Here is a 19,630-nt window from a genome sequence, read left to right on the forward strand (position 1 = left end):
GTGCAATTGAAATATTGTAGCGTAGTATTTTATATAGGTCAGTGATTTTCGAATTCTTCTTTTTAAAGCGATGAACCTTTTGTCAAAATATCACATGGAACTCCAACTTATTAAACCTGAGGACTGTAGCTTCTGTGGGTGAAGCAGGATGGGCAGAGGTTGGTTGGCATATCTGCCTGCATGACCTCTCAGCCCTAGAGTGGCCTTTGAGGCTCGTCCACTGAACCCAGGGCTCTGAAGAATACAGCTTAGAAACTGTATGTATGTAACTGTATGTACGTTTCAAGAGCAGCTTGGTGGGAGAAGGGAAGCTGGCTGCTTTGCGTCAGTTGGTAGAACATGTTGAATATCAGTTTTGATCTTCTGGTTTAGGCAATGGGGTATTATAGAAAGTTTGTGATCAGTACCTGTTATATAATGTTTCAGGAAGGCTTAAATGGTCGTGGGGGGTGTGCGTGCAGTTTTTGTTCTTCTTCCCTCCCCCAACACCCCAGTATGATCCTTAGAATTCTACCCAGGAGTCCAGTGATGGCACCCCCAACCCCCCAGCATGATCCTTAGAATACTACCCAGGAGTCCAGCGATGGTACCCCCCACCCCCCAGCATGATCCTTGGGATACTACCCAGAAGTCCAGTGATGTAGAGAGTGTTTACTTTTTTCATATTGAAGAGCAAGGCAAGTGTGGTGGAAATAACTTATGGAAAGAAAGTATGAGGGCCACGTGGTGAGCACCAGCCGAGGCTAAATAGGATAATAGATATGAAAGTGCTCTGATATTTATAAAAGGCCACTGTGTAAAATGCTCAATACATGAGTTAGAATTAATATCCCAGCATTAATATTATGGAAGAGTAGGCAGCCTTTGAATGGAAGAAATCAGTTCAGCCTTTCGTGTGTGCTGGTTCTCAGAGCATGAGCTTAGCTCTCAGATGTCATCATGACCAGCCAGCTCGCTGTTTTCCTCTCAGACCAATGACTTTCTTGATTTCCTATAACAACTCTTATCTTAGTCAGCTTGGGCTTCTATAAAAGAATACCATAGACTGGGTGGATTAAACAACAGACATTTGTTTCTCACAGTTCTGGAGGCTGGAAGTCTGAGATCAAGGTGCCAGCATGGCTGGGTTGGTTAAGACCATCTTCCTAGCTTGTGGATGGCTGCCTTCCTGCTGTGTGCTTCCCTTAGTCCTGTTTTTGTTTGTTTGTTTGTTTTTTGGTCTCACTCTGTCACCCAGGCTGGAGTGCAGTGGCATGGCTCTATCTAGACTTGAACTCCTGGGCTTGAGCAATTCTCCCACCTCAGCCTCCTGAGTAGGGACTGCCAGCTAATTTTTTTTTGTAGACACAGGGTCTCACTATATTGCCCTGGCTGGTCTGTAACTCCTGGCCTCAGGCAATCCTCCACCTCAACCTCCTGAAGTGTGGGGATTACAGGCATGAGCCACCACTCCTGGCAAGTACTGTTTTTATAAGACAGTAATCCCATCATGCGGGGCCCACCCTCTTGACGTCATCTAAACCCAGTTTCCTCCTGAAGTTCCCACCTCCTTGAAGCTGGGACATCAACATGAATTCTAGAGGTACACTAACATTTATCCCACAACAACCTCCTTTATCACTTCCCACTGTTCTCGTGTGTGGAGAACAGGATGGGAATCCTGCTGCATGTATTCCAGAAGAATGGCTGGCTGAAGCTGGGGATGCTGCCAAACACATAGATTTCCTGTGTCCATGGAGGTGCTGGGCTGAAGCACAGACATCTGAGGCTCCAAGGAGGAGAAACTCACCCAGAGAGGCAGCAACACGAAAAGATGAATTGATAGAGATGACGCGAGGAAGAACTGAATACACTAGATGTTCCCCTTCTTGAACTGGTGATCGCCTGATGATTTCATCAGCTGCCACCCTGCAGGCCTTTTCTCTACTGGCTGCTCAGGCATGTGCTCGTTATTTATCTTGTCCTTTTGTCTGAGTCCCATATATGTGAGCCTGTGTGGATTCAGTCAGAAGGCAGAGGTGTTCAGAAACCAACAAAGTAGTTGGTTCAGTGTTGCTATGGGCAGAAGAGCTGAGACTGGGGTGAGACTTTTGCTCTGAGAAACTAGGCTGAAAAATTATTTCTGCCCGTTGAAATGTTAGAGTTCTATATCTTGAGCCCCAGAGCCTACAGAGACGTGTCTGGGCCTCACTGCAGCTCCCATTATTCCATTATTCCTCCAATAATGGAATAATAACCTCCCATAGGGATTGAGTTACCAGACTGAGTTGACCATGACTTGGTACCATAGCAGCTGGATGACCTTCATGGGTGTCCATTGCCCTAGCTTAGTGACCCTACCAGTGCCTGGACTGGCTGTGTATAGGCTGGAGGGGACTCTGTGTCTGGGAAGACTTCCCTTATCTTCTGAAGCCAGTATGAGATTCTCCTGGCCTGCTCTGCAGGACAACTCTGGAAGCCCTTGTTCTTTTTTTTTTTTTTTTTTTTTGAGACGGAGTCTGGCTCTGTAGCCCCGACTGGAGTGCAGTGGCGCGATCTCGGCTCACTGCAAGCTCCGCCTCCCGGGTTCACGCCATTCTCCTGCCTCAGCCTCCTGAGTAGCTGGGACTACAGGCGCCCGCCACCACACCCGGCTAATTTTTTTTGTATTTTTAGTAGAGACAGGGTTTCACTGTGTTAGCCAGGATGGTCTCGATCTCCTGACCTCGTGATCCACCCACCTCGGCCTCCCGAAGTGCTGGTATTACAGGCGTGAGCCACCGCGCCCGGCCGAAGCCTCTGTTCTTGACCTGGGAACAGTTAGTTCAGAATTGTCTCTGTGCTTTGCACTGCAGTGGAGAGGGTATCCCTCACATTCAGTCTGTGCTAACCTTGGAGGCCTGGGGGCAAGGTTTTCATTCACTCCACCTGAGGAGGAGGAGTTTGGGAAGCATCTCCTATCCTGACACTTCATCCAGCCCAAAGGACTTTAATTTTCATTTTATTTTTAAAATTAACAGTAAAATTGATTTTGGGGGTATAGTATTATGAATTTATGTGTCTGTATAGATTCATGTAACCTTCACCCCAATCAAGGTAGAGATACTTTCAAGTTTTGTGTGTATCAGTAGTTCATTCCTTTTTATTTGTTAAAAATTTGTTTTACATTTCAACCAATTCCCCTCTAACTTTCTGTAACAATACTGTATCACACATGAACTGCTTATTTTCCTTTTTATTTTTGAGTAGTATTCTATTATATGGATATACCACAATTTGCTTATCCATTCACCCTGTGGAAGGATATTTGAGTCGTTTCTAATTTTGGTAATTATAATAGAGCTGTTAAACATTCATGTACAGGTCTTTGTGGGAACATAACTTTCCCTTTCTCTAGGGTAAACACTTAGCTGAGGTAATGCTGGGTCATATGGTAAGTGTATGTTTAACGTTCTAAGAGACTGCTAAATTAGTTTTGGCTGTGCTATTTTCCATTCCTTCAGCAATGCGTGAGAAGTCCAGTGGCTCTGCATCCTCCCCGGTGTTTGGCGTCTGTTGTGCTGGACCCTGTTGACTTCAGTAGGGATGGCACCAGGTTCAAGAGGCCGGAGGAGAGACCCAGAACCGGTGAACAAAACATGTGGTTTATTTGGGGGAACTTACAGAGACGGTCCAGTGGCTGCAGGCTGGAGAGGAGAATGATAACCGCCTGTAAAAAGCATGCAGTTTATATAGCACCCTCACTTGGCACACTTCCCTCAGCAACCTGCATGTGGCAACCCTAATTTCTTGTTATTTCTGTCAGGTGCATCTACCATACAGTGTTTAGTTGTTGTTTTAATTTTATCTATTCTAATATGTATATAGTGGGATCTTACTGTGGTTTTAATTTGCATTTCCCTAACAGCTAATGATATTGAACATCTTTTCATGGGAGGCCATTATTCCAGACTTGGGTGAATACCCTATTGTCTTAGGGAGCTGTAATCAGGTCTGAGTGTGTTTCAATAGGCCCTGGAGCTCAAGATTCAGACTTTAAAAATCCCAGTGGGCAGATATAATTTTTTAGCCTTGTTTCCTAGGCATGAGCCTCACCTGTCTCAATTCCTCCTGTTAGACAAAAACACTGAACCAACTACCAAAACTTGTTGGTTTCTTTACATGTGTTTATTTGCTTTCAATATATCCCCTTTAATCAAGTGTCCATTTGAGTCATTTGCCCATTTTTTACTTCGGGTGTTGTCTACAGCTGTTGAGATTTGAGAGTTCTTTATATGAATGTATTCTGGATACAAATCTTTTGTCAGGTGTCCTATTTGCAAGCATTTTTTCCCAGTCTATTACTTGTCTTTTCATTCACTTAAAACTGGCTTCCACGGAGCAAGTTTAATTTTATGAAGTTCAATTAATCAGTTTTTTATTTTTTATGGATCATGCTTTTGGTATCATATGTAGAAGTTCTATATAAACCCAGGTCACAAAGTTTTTTGTTGTCGTTGTTGTTTCTGTTTTGTTTTTTGTTTTTGATACGGAGTCTCACTCTGTCACCCAGGCTGGAGTGCAGTTGTACGATCTTGGCTCTGCAACCTCTGCCTCCTGGGTTCCAGCGATTCTCTTGCCTCAGCCTCCTGAGTAGCTGGGACTATAGGCATGCTCCATCACACCCGGCTAATTTTTGTATTTTTAATAGAGATGGGGTTTCACCATGTTGGCCAGGCTGGTCTTGAACTCCTGACCTCAGGTGATCTGCCTACCATTTTCTTCTAAAAGTTTTATAGTTTTACACTTAAGCCTGTGATGCACTTTGAATTATTTCTGGCATAAGGTATGAGGTTTATTTTCATGTTCATTTTGGTTTTTTGCCTGATCTGGTCACATCTCACTCTCAGTAGTTCATTCTCTTTCCCTGTCAAGTTTGACTTTAGATTTCCATCATAGTTGGAGGGGGAAACCTGCCTCACATCACAGATTGTTTTTCCTATGGGAAAATAATCCCAGGATTAGGATTTTGCAGTTTGTAGTGGGGGCTTCTTCCCATTTTCATCCTCGTTTCTGAATAGTCACCTTGCTCTGCTTTGGATCCATGTTCAAATCTCATCTGTCTTCGGGGGCCCTCCCACGCATTTCAGTCTCTATCCAGTAGACTCCTTCCTGCACTCTGGATGTCACAGTGGTTGTGCTTGGTAATGCCACATGCTTTAATAGAGCGGAGACAGAAAATTCAGAGGGAACTCAAATGAGGTAAGGCAGGAGTTGGCAAACCATGGCTCATGGATCAACTCTGGCCCACTGAGCGCCTTTATAAATAAAGCTTTATTGGAACATAGCTGCACTCATTTATCTCTGTATTGTCTATGGCTGTTTTTGTGCTGGAGCAAGAGAGTTGCATAGTTGCAACAAAGATCACATAGCTCTCAGAACATAAAATATTTACCACTTTATCTTTTACAGAAAAAAATTTACTGACCCTCGGAGTCAAGGCTGGTACTGGGGATGAGTTGGGTTATGGCACTTTGCTATGGTGAAAACAGTCCTGCAGAAAACAGTGCTCTTCCTACATAAACCATCCTGGCATCTCTTCACCCAAGTTCATTTGTTGTCATAGAAATTTGGACGACGTAATGTCTGGTGCAGCTTTGGAGTTACCTATGGTGATGGGCTGGAAGAGAAGATGAGATGGAATAGAGATCATGTGGTGCATCAGTCAGTCCCAGTGAAGAACGGGGAGACGCAGGGAATCAGGAGTGACTTGATGACCAGCACTGACTTCTTAGTTTCTATGGTCTGCTAAACCTCACTCTACTTTAGTGGACCTCAGTCTTAGCTGCTCATGAGAATCACCTGGGTAGCTTAAAAAAAAAAAAAAAAGCCCAATGTCCAGGCTGCACTCTAGACCAATTACATCAAAACTTCTGGGGGTGGGATCCAGACACCAGTATTTTTTAAGTTTCCCAGTTGGCTCTAGTTTACAGCCCAGGCTGGGAACCATGGTTCCACTTTACAATCCCATAACCCCGAGGAAATATTGCCACCTACTGACAGTAGATAATTATTATGCCTTGAAAGAAGTCAATAACTTCAGATTCCCCTCCATTCTGGGAACTTGTGTATTGGTTACTGTATTTATATCATTTATGTATGAGAGTTGTATGTTAGAGTTTGATTTGGGGCCATCTTAAGGTGGTTGTTCCTGAGAAACACCTCATGTCTCAATTTTTATGTAACTCAGAATATTGACATATATAATTGGTAGGAATCATTGAATGTTAGCACTGAAAGAAACCTTAGAGATGGTTAGTTCACAAAGCTGACATATCCAAATACCTTTTGGACTTACATACTGTGGTTCTGGCTCCTTGCTTCTCAAAGTGTGGTCTGTGGACCAGTAGTGTCAGCATCATCTGAGACTACGCTAGAAATAAAGAACCCTTGGCTCTCCCCAGACCTGCAGAATGGCCTATAAATTAACAAGGTCCCTGAGTGATTTATATGGACCTTCAAGTTTGAGAAGCACCAGTTTAGAGAATCATATAAGTGGAATCTTCTGGGTGTAGCTTCCAGTTTTATTGTAAGAAACTACTTTTCAAAGAGAGCTGCCAGTATTCTGTTAGAGGCTGAATGATTGCTCGACAGAGACAACACTGTGACTTCGAGAGCCCTCCAAATTCTGATTTTATTATTTTCCTCCTCCTTCTCAAATAGTTTCTTCAGTATCTCTCAAGAATTACCTTCTTCATCATACCTTTCATTATACCACGAATATTCACTGGGGCCATCAGTTCTGCCTACTGTAGTTTCTCTCTTCCCAGCCACCTTACATCTGGAACTTGTATTATCCTAATGGATGAATGCAAGCACAGGTTTTCCAAATTTACCCTTATCTCTTGCTCATCATGTTAGAAAGTCTAAGCTCACCCTAAGCGTACTATGGGGAAATTCAACGGGTAGAAGACTTGGGAGAGCATAGGAAAAGCAGTCCCACATGAATGGCTGTGTGACCCCCACATCCTGTCTAGCTCCTATTACCTGATTCTCCAGTGCAAGATAGACTTTTTCAATGTATAACACATTCTTGTGTTCACCTGTGCTGGCATTGGTGAAAACATTGCTACCTTTTCCAGGCAAGGGATTTAGGGACCACTTCCTTATTCTGCTTCTCAGTCTATATAGTGATTTCATCCAGATATTTTCTTTATTCTTACTATGCAGTGCTTGATACATGTCTCTAGTCTTTCCTAGATTTCTCATTTACAGTGTCTCTTCTTCCTGATTCCTTAGTGCTGTTGCCAAGATTATGTTCAGGATTTGCACCTCTATTTTTCACTCTTTTTAAAACCCTTAAGCACCCTCCTACTTTCTATGCAAAACTATAGTAACTTCTTTTCCATTTTAGAACTTTCCCCATCTGTCTGCATCCTTTCTGCCTTCCATCCTCTTCCCTTGCTTCTGGGATTGACCTGGCCTCACCAAATGCCTTCATTTCTATGTTGGTATACATTTGCCCCACCTTCCTCAAGTGTGCCTGCCCATCTAACTCTTCCTACAAGAGCTATGAAGGTTCATATCACATTGAGTCATGTTTAGAGCTGGGAAGGTGTAATCTAACCCAATACCCTGGCTTCACAGAAGGGAAGAATTATACCCTTCTGTAGGGTAGGTGGCTTGCTCAAGGTCACGTAGCTAAGAATGTGAATACTTGCTGTGAAATAGCATTACTATTCAGTGTAGCTTCTTTGACTTCATAATACTTCATGCAAATTGTTTAACCTAACTTCACAAGGTAAGTGTGGGATGTGTGTGGCAGATAGTGAGAGGTGCTGGGAGGTTTATTAAACATGATTGATTACCTTCTTTTCAAGAGAGGTAAATTGAGCCCTAGAAAGACAAAAGGATTCATCATTTGTCTCATACCCACTTTTGGTCTGAGGCAGAAAACCGTAAATCCTTGATTCATGACTCTTCTAAATACTAGGAAACGTTTACTCCTTCTACGTGTGTGTGTGTGTGTGTGTGTGTGTGTGTGTGTGTGTGTGTGTGTGTAGATATGAATCATACTGTGGTAACAGTGTTATCTCTGCCCCACTCCTCTGCAAGACTATTTATTGCTGCATAATGGATGTGTATATTTTGGGGTACATGTGATAATTTGATACATTCATATAGATTGTAACGATCAAATCAGGGTGACTGGGACATTCATCACCTTAAATAAGTACCTTTGCTTTCTGCCAGGAACGTTGTTTAATGTCTCTAGTCTTCCTACTTACATCATATATTAACCATTTAGAGGAGTTTAGAGGACAGTCTAGGCTAGATATTAGTGGAGAATGATAGAATTGACCGGAGTAGGGTTTATACTGTTGTATTTTTATCTTGCCATCCACCTCTGTCTCTTTTTTTACTTAAAGAAGAGAAGATTCTAATACTTGTTTTTAACATGCTGTGAGAGATATAGAGAAGAAAGCAGCTGAAAGCAGCAGATGATTGTTAGTACTGGTACTCATCTTGCTTCATAAATCAGCCCTTCAGGCCCCTTAATCATTTAGGTTGTTGTTCAGCTACCCGTGACCTGTCAGCATGCTCCTGGTCAGAGAAAAGTGATGGCTGTATTCCCGGGGCTATCTCGTCTCCTCTCTACAGGGAGCAACCGCCACTTGGAGCTCCCCTGAGTACACAGTCCGAGATTGCTTGCACTTGAGGCTGCCGCTGCCTTCCATGCCAGGGCCTGTTTGACTTGCCCTATGCCATCATGCTGGTCTCCTGACACTGTGGAAATGCAGCCTCCTCACAGAACATCTGTGTGTGCATGAACCGCTCTTCCACCTTCTCAACGTTCCAAACAGCAACGAGCTTGAATATTTCCTGCCCCAAAGCCCTCCTTAAGTTCAGAAGGTCTCTTTACCATGTTTTTCTGTCCTCACTGGTATTTCATACCCTTCCCACGTTATTGACATGTGTCCCTGGGTGTGGAATGTTCCTGGTCCTGTGAAGTTAATTTCCAATATGTTCTTATTTCTCTTCTTGCTTTCTGTTATAAAATGGGGTTTGTGTGCTCATGAGACAGCTCATTAACCATGTATTGAATGAATGGAGGAATGAATGAATGAATTTTATTTCCTGGAGCCATGATTCTGAGCTACTAAAAGACACAAGTGTTGGGGAACATAACAAGCACAGAGCCAAGAGTCAGGAGATGTAGGTTCCAGATATGGGTTTTCTGCTAATGAACCTGGGAAGTCTCTTATCATCCCTGGGCACTGGTTTCTTCATCTATAAGATGAAAAGCTTGGTCAACCCTGGTGGCCTCAAACATTTCAAATACAAAGTTTCCTCTATAAATTTTTTAATGAACTATTTCAGGCTGGGTGCAGTGGCTAATGTCTGTAATCCTAACACTTTGGGAGGCCGAGGTGGGAGGATTGCTTGAGTCCAGGAGTTTGAGATCAGCCTGGGCAGCATAGCAAAACTCTGTTTCTATTTAAATAAATAATAAAGAAATATTTCAGATGTAAAAAATGTATGAAAGGTAAAGTATGAATACCTAATGCTTAGCACTCTGTGGAATTTCCTCCCAAAGTAATACTTTTTATTTTATTAGCTTTTGATTTAGAAAATGGATGACAACAACTAGCAATAGCACTTTCATAAGAATCTATCTTGTTACAAGAATAGCTATACTTAAAAAATAGTACATATATGATTAAGACACATTGATTAGTTTATGGCAATTCTTAATGCAAATAAAAATGTATAATAATCCTTGCTTTTGTGGCCCAAAGTAGTGTTTCTGAATAGCATGGTCTACATTACCATGTGCATTTTAAAAAACGCCAACTTTTGGCCGTACTTCTGATCTGCTGAATAAACATTTCTAAAGCCTGGGCCTGTGATTCTGCCTTTTTATCAAGTATTCCAAATGGGATTTAGAACTTGAGTTTTAGATCTCCTTGGTCTACAAAGTAGGATGATACTTCATTTCTATATAATGACAATGAATATTTCTTTAAAAAGTAGCTTCTGTGGTTCCTTTTGAGTATTTTGGAGATTGCAGAGATTTTATTTATACCCAATTTTCAATAATATATCTATTGCAAAAATAAGTCATGCTGGGATTGAGGTAGGTAGATGGGAAATAAATGTCTCTACCCAGTGTTTCCAAGACTCCTCATAGATATTCTGGAATTTAGATTCATTTCAAACTTTGGTGTTGGTCATGCTGGCATTTCTGAGATTTTATATAAATCAACAATACAAGACACATCAGTATTAGAAACTGCCATGGTTCTCAGGAACCCTGCCCCCAAGATTCTGGTTCCATAGGCATAAGAGCCAGAAGTTAAGGAAGCTGGGTAGCCCACAGAACAGAAATTCATCTCACGACCATCCCCCCAATCATTACTCCTAACTGTACAGTCAAATGATTACGAGTGGCTTTGGCCAATAATGACAGCTCTACAGGATTTCATTTTTAAAAGGCTGTATCAAGCATAGATAAAGTGCTCAGTACTGTGCTGTGGACCATGGACCATATAAGGAAGATTAGTTCTTAAAGTCCTTGCACTTCGGAATGGAATCCAGATTTTAATAATTTGGTAATTAACTTCTGGAAGGCTTACTTTATATACAGTGCCTTTTCTTGGGCTCTGTGAATAACCACTGTCAACTATATTCATTACTTTGACATTCATTTATCACCCTCCTATGTCCTGGTCTCTTTTCTTGGGTAGAAATATGTATCAGTCATATTTCTTGCTCTCATGAAGGGTATGGCCTGTGGGATAAATAAATAATCAACCAATCAACAGTGAGTGATAATAGAGGCTTGCATATTGCTGTAGTAACCAACTCTGTGGGAGGATATGGGAAGCGGGAGTTGGCTTCACTGTGTAGAAGTGTGAGCAGATATTTCAAGAATAAACAAGAGTTCACCAGGCAGATGGTGTGGGGAGGGCATTTTAGGCATAGGGAATAGCAAATGCAATTACATGGAAGTGTGGAAAACTATGGCATGTTTAACTTGCATGTGGGGGAGTTCCAGAAATATCATTTCGTGAGCAGAATTTAAGTGGACTTGCCGTGAGAACAAATGTGTTTGTTACATGGTGTTTTAGATTTTGCATTTTTGTATTGTGGTAAAATATACATGACATAAAATTTACCATTTTAGGCCGGGCGCGGTGGCTCACGCCTGTAATCCAAGCACTTTGGGAGGCTGGGGCGGGCAGATCACCAGTCTGGCCAAAATGGTGAAACCCCGTTTCTACTTAAAATACAAAAATTAGCTGGGCATGGTGGCAGGTGCCTGTAATCCCAGCTGCTCAGGAGGCTGAGGCAGGAGAATTGCTTGAACCTGGGAGGCAGAGGTTGCAGTGAGCTGAGATTGCACCATTGCACTCCAGCCTGGGGGACAAGAGTGAGACTTCATCTGGAAAAAATAAAAATACCATTTTAACCCTTTTTAAGTGTACGGTTCTGTGGCATTAAATATATTTACATTGCTGTACAACCATCACCACCATCCATCTCCAGAACTTTTTCATCTTGCAAAGATGAAACTCTGTACCTGTTAAACAACTTCCATTTCCCCTTCTGCTCAGCCCCTATTATTTGTCTCTGTAAGTTTGACAACCCTAGGGACTTCATATAAGTGGAATCATAGAATATTTTCCATTTGTCATCAAGATTCAACCATGTTGTAGCATATGTCAGAATGTCCTAACTTTTTAAGGCTGAATAATATTACATTGTATGTATACACCACATTTTGTGAATCCATTCATCCATTGATAGACATTTGGGTTGCTTCTACCTTTTGGTTATTGTAAATACTGCTGTGAACATGGGTATACTCAGATTTTGTATCTTACTGTCTAAATTTTTAGACTGTCACATCACATAATACATGCAAAAGGACTTTCTGAAAACCCTTTGTGAGACAGTACCTTTGGTAGAGGTGCTTATGGTTTTGTTTTGGAGATCTGCTCACACTCCTGAAACCGAGACTATAGACAGAATATGATTGGAATGCCCAGCAGCACTGTCAGAGTCCACTTTTAAATTTCCTGTGATCATTTGCAAGAAGCGAAGCTCCAAAGCTCCTTCTAGATAGGTAGTGAACACAGTCAAGGACTTACAGAGCCTGGCATAGTGTTTGCCTTTGCAAACTGAATCCTCTCCCCTTGGTGAAGTTGCCTTTGAGCACCTTGACTCATAAGCAGGTCTTGGCTGACATCTGTAAGCATTGCAGAGACAGTGAGAAGGACTTGGCAAAATGAATTTTATGGTTAAGAATGAGGGAGACCTGCTTCCTATGAAGCAGGTGAGAGAGTGTATCACCAGCCAAATTATTTCTGGCCAAGGTGACTGAAGAACCAAGGATCCTGTTTTCTCTCTCTCTCTTTATTGCTTGCTCGCTCTCCCTCTCTCTCTCTCTGTGTGTGTGTGTGTGTTAAAAATCCATGGATATGTTAATATACATATATATTTTTAACATATATATATAATATATGTTAAAAATCAGGTATTTTCAAACATCCAGGGATTCTTTAGGGAGCTACACATTTTTGTGAAAACAGACTGCTAAATGTGTGAGGAGCATCTGATGGCCCCAGCCCTTCCCCTGGACTCTGAGGAAGTAATTCTATTCCTTCTGTTTCTGAAGTATAGCCTCAGGTTTAGGGCTGGCTGGTCCCTTCATGAGATGCCCACTCTGCTGTTGCAGACTTCTGGCTTCCCCTTCTTGGATACTCAGTGACCAGGACAGAGATATATAGGGTTAGGAGGCAGTTTGGGAAGTTGGGAAAAAGGAAGCACTGGGGTGTCAGGAGATGATTAGAAATGAGGCTGCTGATCTGTCAGCAGCTTTCCAACTTCTCATCGATGTTCTTACTCATGTCTTCCATTGAGTGTTCACTCCTGGCTCCTGTTGGATGCTTTTCCCAGCTTCCCCTTCCTGGACCTCACTGACTGGCACGGCACATTAAGTTCCAAGGCCACTATTCCAAAACAAGGTCCCAAGGCTCTATTTGTGAAACCCCAGACACTTTCCCCTGGCCTTTCCAGTCTGCAGGTGGTGTTCCAGGACTTGCATTGTTTTGTTCCCTGAAAGGTCAAGTCCTGTAGGGCTTCATCTGTCCAGGCTGGTGGGGCTCTGGCTGGCAAAGCAAATGCATCAGATCAGCCTGGCCATATTCAGGGAGGGCCAGGCCCGTTGGCACAGACTGCAGGGCTGGCATGGGCTTTGTGGGAGGCTGGTCTGAGCCACAGACGGTGGCACCAGCAGTCTTGTTTGTTCTTCAGCCCCTGGCAAAGCCTGAGCAGATTGGATTCCTGTCCTGTGGAACACAGATGCTTCCTCCAGAGCTCACCTGCCCAGGCAGTGCTCCACCTTGGAGCAGCACCGTCAGTTTGGGAAAAAGGAGGATTTGTCCCTGAGAGCCCCTTCTCTTCTCCATTCTTGTGGTTACTCCATTATCTCTCCTCTGTCCAAATTCATTTTCTCACCCCTCAGTGAACACAATAACATGTTGTCCAAGCAAAGCATAATTGCCATATAAACAAATGGCTTAATGATAATAAATATTCAAGCATTTTCAGATACTTGATTTCCTTTTATTTTCCTAGTTTCCAACATAATTGCAAGTTAATTTTAATTTTTCTATTGGAAAGGGTATGGGACATCTGACCAGCAGGCAGGTGGGGAAGATGCAGAGTGTGTCCAACCCAAGAGTCCTTATAAATAGCACTCAGGCAGTTCTGGCAGCCGTGATGGAACCTGGAGGCCTATTTCCTGCCTCTCTTGTCCATCTTCATTTTGAAGGACTCCAGAGCATTCCACCAGCTATTGTAAGGAGCACCTGTGTTGTCACCATCATTGAGGTTTTGGGAGAAATCATTTGGTCATGCTTTTTCATGCAGTGACTGTGCCCACAGACCCTGTAAGAGCCATTGGGAACTATGTGCATGGTGATTGAATTAGAGACCTGTTTCCAGTTCTAAAGAGAAAGTTCAGTTGCACTTTTGAGTTCTTAAGACGAAGGTATTAAAAGGCATGGCCAAGCCTGCCAAAATACTAACTGTAGAAATAGATAAGGTTTCAGATACACAAGCAAGGAGCTGGCTGGGTGCCTCTTGCTATGCTCGGGTAAGAAATCATGATTAATAAAGGCCACAGAGAGAGTGAAACCAACAGGGAGGTGGACAAAGCAAGAAAGAGAGATATGGTCAACTACAACATTCTTCCAGAAATATAAGACATTTAAGGTTATGGCATAGCAGGCAATATGTTCTCTAAAACCAGGACTGGGGAGAATGATGTAGTGTTTTGCAGAGGTAGGTACTTGATATTTCTGCTTTGATTTTATTGTTAGAAAAGAGAAGTATATGGGGCATATGAAAGTGATATACTGTAAGAGACCAAAGAACAATAAAAGAGTTGAGGTCCAACCTGTCTAGGGTAGGTTTTGCCCTCTTCTGGGTGTTTCTGGGACTCTTCAGCCTTTAACTTCCACCTGAGTGCATCAGACACACTCTTCTGTACTCCTTTGGCCGGCAGGAGCAGCCTGATTTTAGTGACTCGTTCAGAAGGGAGGTGCAGCTGGAAGGTTGTGTTTATTAAAGCCCAAGTGACTGGAGGTAAATGCAGGTGTGGTCAGGAAATGTAGCTGGTTCACCTCTCAGTAGGCACAAGGCCAAAGTCAGCCGACTTGCAGATTGTAATGCCGGTTCTCCCACCCAGAGGTTATTTGAGTTCATCCAGCACTGCAGCTGAGCAGAATGCTGCAGTCAGGGTGACACAATGCAAACTGGAGCCATGTCCTCAAGTGCATGCCAATCAAACCAACTTTAACCTTCGCTGGTTTGTGGCTGCTGACCTAGAGAGGAATTTGTTATATGGCTGAGGTCCTGTCCTACCTAAGCCAGACTCCAGTGCAAAAAAAAAATCCTGTCAGATGCGCCTCTTCTTCTCTGTCTCCATCTCCCTCTCTGCCTCCCGTTTCCCCTTTACTCTTTACTGTTAGTTGGCCTGGGGTTCCTGGGCTGAAGTGGAGTTTCCTCCTGTCTCCGTGTGTTTGCTGCTCTGGTTTGCTCTTCTTCCAGGGCCCCTTGGTAAAAGAAGAGCTGCTGACAGGGTAGAGTGGAGGTGGGGAAGTGACCACCAGACTGGGAGTGATGTAGGTTGTGGTCATCAATGATGTAGGTTGCTGTCACCAGGACACTCAAATCAGCTGTGACCAGAGCCTGCAATGACAACGTGAAGAAGGATCTCTTACCTCAGTTAGTGAGGTCCTATTCTTGTAGAGACAAGAATGTTTCTTGTGGAAACAGATAGCCAAGAAGTATCAACAATAACTCTGTACAGTGGAATAGAAGATCTGAGATTTTAGTGAAAAGGATAGACTCAGGACAGTAGGAAGCTCTGAGTTGAGTTTGTAACATCAGAATATTAAAAGGCACAGTGAAGAGAAGGTTCTGGATTTCTAATGAGATTTCCAAAGTAGGCTATGTTTTTATCTCATTAGGATGGATTAAGTTCATGCCTATCAATGCTAACTGTAGAAATAATTAGGTTTCAGATGCACTGTCAAGGTGTTAGGTGCCTTTTTCCAGGCTTGAGTGGCAACATGGTAGGAGAAGGTCTTGAGTATAAAAGGTCCCGGAGAAGGGATGTGGGTGGGCTTTGGGTCTTGTGTATCTTAATTTTTAATCTGTAGCCCAGATGTTTGATTGGAGAGCTTGCAAGTGAAGTTTGCTAGGCGGTGATAGTAAGATGGGAATCAGATGAAAATGGTTTTAATAAACTGGAGAAGTGCTCAAAATGAAGTTCACTGAGGAAAATGTAGAATTATACCACCAGTTATGAATAGCTACACAAGTGTTAAGAGATGGCTATGAATGAACAAATGTACCAGAAAGAGCTGAGATTGAGGATGACGCCAACATCCATCAGCAGTATGGGTCTGTGGTTGGAGCATCCCTGTCTAGAACTACAAATAAGAGTTCAAAACACAGGGGTTGTCACTATATACCCCATGAATATGTACAATTATTTGTCAATTAAAAATATAATTAAATAAAACTTAACAAATACATGGTTTTTGAGGCCATATCTTTTCTAGATGTGCCAAAATCTTCAGGCTAGCAGGGCTGTGGGTAGACTTGTAGACTGACTCACAGATAAAGGAAATTTGAAATTGAACTTTTAGAGAGTAATTGAGAATTCATAATTATCTTTCAGTGTGTAAAAAACCCTGATGTGAAGATTGGTTCCAGCTGTTAGTCTTTGCTGAGGATGGAATGTAGTTTCTGTAGCCTTTGATGAGACACTAGGAATACTTGCCTGACCGTGGAAGTCATTAAATGATAGAATGAGTTATTGAGGGAAGGTTCTGATTTTTTATGGGATATTCCAAATAGGCTATGTTTTCATCTCATGAGGGTAGCTAGCTGATGGCTGAGAAGTGGTATAGACTATTCAGAGTCCCGTTTCTAACCCAGAGATTGCCTGAGACATCCACCTGCTTTTACATCCCCCGAGGTGCTCCCTGCCCCCAGGAGCTATTCCCCACACCTGTCTGGGGACCTTTTTTCCAGGCATGGGCTAGCTGGGTCTGTATAGATGCACTGATCTCATCAGATTGCACTTTCTTTTTGTTTTCTTCTTTCTTGCAGTATGAGTTTAAAGCCAAGAACATCAAGAAGAAGAAAGTGAGCATTATGGTTTCAGTGGATGGAGTGAAAGTGATTCTGAAGAAGAAGAAAAAGGTAAGTGGCTCTGAACCAGAATCTGAGGTGAAGAGGAAAGCAGGGGAGGTAGGCATGGGGTACCTTCTTCTTCTGGGCCCACCTCCAGAGAGAATCCCTCCCTTATCTGGCAAGCTCTTCTGCTTTGAGCAGCAATGGTGCTGACAGGCTGCAGCAGAGTGTAGGGCGAGGCGAGGCCAAAGGCCTAGTCACCAGTTGGCTCAGTCAGTCCTGGTACCCCAGGTGATGGGAGTCACCTCCTGTCATCCATGCCTTCAACCCCCCTCCCCATTTTCATACCTTTATCTTTGAGTTTTGAGTCCTGATGGTAGAAAATATTTTCAATTTTAGTAAGAATAGCAGGGTTCAGTGGGATTGGGCAGCGAGAGGAGGCTTCCTCAGCAGCTGTCCCCTTCGATTGCAGGACCATCCTTCAGTCCCACCCCAGGTGCCATGCAGCCCCCTCCGTTGTATGTCCTTGCATCCTCCTGTTGCAGCCTATATTTACATCGTCCCTCAAGACCCAGCCACTGCTGCTGCTCCGTGTGCAGGGATGGTGGGGTGTGGCCAGGTCGGGAGGATGGGCAGGGGGATTGATCCATTCAGCGTGAGTTGGGGAGAGACAAGCAAGTGAGCATATGTTGTTTAAACACTTGTCTGTTTTGTGCCAGTTGTATGTGGTTGTGGCAGGTAACATTAACCCCTTGGAAAGGCTAGATTCGTATGGTGGGAGGATGGGAGGATGTGTGTTTTCAAAAAGAAACAGAAAAGAGCTTGGCTGATTGAGTATATATAAGGAGCCCTTTTTGTCCCTGTTTCTCAATTCTGCTGATGTTTTTATTTTTTATTTATGATGCCTTTGTTTTACATTTATTGATGGTAGCACCATATCATAGTCCTCCATAGACCTCCTGAGCTTATTTTGGTTCCAAATCTCAGTCACTCTTAATTCAACTGGGACTTAAAGCAGACCTTGAATGTCGGGGCTAGAGGGAGAGAGTGTGGAGGTTATGGAAGCAAAGACAAATGAATCATAGTAGGCAACATAAATTTGAAGAACCATATAGCTGAGAGAGATCTTAAAGGGGACTTGTCATATCAATCCAAGGGCTTAAATCTTGTTTATAATGTCCGTACAAGGGGCATTGTCCAGTGTATGATTGGACACCTGTAGCAATGGGAAATTTACTACTTCCTGAGGCAGCCCCTTTCCTCTCTGGATGTTTACAAAGGTCTCTTACGTATTAATCCAAAACTTGTTCTTTCATGCTCCCTCAATACTTTCATTGGTGGTTTTAGAAAGTGTTTTATGGCTATGATGCTGCAAGTATGTAGAAAAAAGATATACTGTTTATAAAGAACCACCTTCTTCAAAATTCACAAGTATAGGGAATTAAATATCTTTGGCTTTGTAAACCTTTGCTGTGTGCATGGGCCCCATCTTGTTCTTCCTTTGGGGACATCTGTTTTGCTTCTTCTCCTCTCACATGTATGTACAGAGTGGACAGTCACGGGACAGTCTTTAGAGTATTGTCCTCTTGGAGTTCCTGAGCAGGACATCAAGCTGAGGCCTGTCAAGCCCTGGGCCTGTTAAAGAAATCGTGGATGATGACAATATGAATTTGAGCAAAAGATATCCTCAGAGGAAAAAAATGGGCTAATTTTGTCACATGTGTAAGATTGCTTTCCTCAGCAATCTGTGGCTGACACTCCCAGAATCTTCCCACCACCCCACTACACATCCACTTCTGACTGACATATCTTTGTTTGCCTTTCTTTCCTTCCTTCCTTCCTTTCCTTCCTTCCTTCCTTCCTTCCTTCCTTCCTTCCTTCCTTCCTTCCTTCCTTCCTTCCTTCCTTCCTTTCCTTCCTTCCTTCTTCCTTCTTTCTTTCTTTCTTCTTGATGGAGTTTCATTCTTTTGCCCAGGCTGGAGTGAAGTGATGCAATCTTGGCTCACTGCAACCTCCACCCCCTGAGTTCAACTGATTCTCCTGCCTCAGCCTCCCGAGTAGCTGTGATTACTGGCGCCTGCCACCACGCCCAGCTACTTTTCTTTTTTTTTTTTTTTTTTTTTTTGAGACGGAGTCTCGCTCTGTCGCCCAGGCTGGAGTGCAGTGGCGGGATCTCGGCTCACTGCAAGCTCCGCCTCCCGGGTTCACGCCATTCTCCTGCCTCAGCCTCCCAAGTAGCTGGGACTACAGGCGCCCGCCACTACGCCCGGCTAATTTTTTATATTTTTAGTAGAGACAGGGTTTCGCCATGGTGGCCAGGTGGTCTCGAACTCCTGACCTCAGCTTATCCACCCACCTCAGCCTCCCAAAGTGCTAGGATTACAGGCATGAGCCACTGAACCCAGCCTGTTGACTTTCGATTAGGTTAAATGTAAACACCTACTGTCCTAGGGGCTGCTCTGTCCCTTTCAGGTATCTTCATACACCTCTGTTGTTGTCCATCATGGGGCAACTTCATAGTTTTGCCCTTAGAGCACAGTCTTGTTTCTCACCTCACTGTCTCTCCCATGTACCTTTACCACGTGTGGTGGCTTCCCCATTGTGCATGTGAGAAAACTGAGGTTGGATCTCATGACACAGTGTGTGCTGAGGTATCACCTGGAGAGAAGCCTCCCTGCCTCCACTAAGCACATGAAAGCCAGGCTGGAGTAGCATCTCCCTGAGGGAGTGCATGGGACCTCGTGACTCACTTTGAAACTACGTCCTGGGTAATCTCCAGTGTGGCTTCATCGTCCTGCTGGCCCAGAAAAAAAGATGGTCTAGCAGGTCTTTCCTAGATCTAACTCTTCTGATGCCAGGCTTGGGAAAAGGGAGCTGCCCATCTTGTTTCCTGCACCCACACTTAGTGTCCGTTCCAGGGCCGTGGCTGTGATTTGAATAATGCCTTTAACCACGG

General features: G+C 43.4%; 1 protein-coding gene across 2 annotated transcripts in view; it reads left to right on the forward strand.

Annotated features, from left to right (window-relative positions):
- NOS1AP (nitric oxide synthase 1 adaptor protein) overlaps window positions 1-19,630 on the forward strand; it is a 300,785-nt gene that overhangs the window by 201,003 nt on the left and 80,152 nt on the right. For both annotated transcript variants that reach the window (NM_014697.3, NM_001164757.2), the window contains exon 3: window positions 16,651-16,743. In NM_014697.3, coding sequence (NP_055512.1) covers window positions 16,651-16,743 — 93 coding nt within the window. The remainder of the gene's footprint in view (window positions 1-16,650; window positions 16,744-19,630) is intronic.

Source organism: Homo sapiens, chromosome 1 (assembly GCF_000001405.40).
Source record: "Homo sapiens chromosome 1, GRCh38.p14 Primary Assembly".
Classification (NCBI taxonomy): domain Eukaryota; kingdom Metazoa; phylum Chordata; class Mammalia; order Primates; family Hominidae; genus Homo; species Homo sapiens.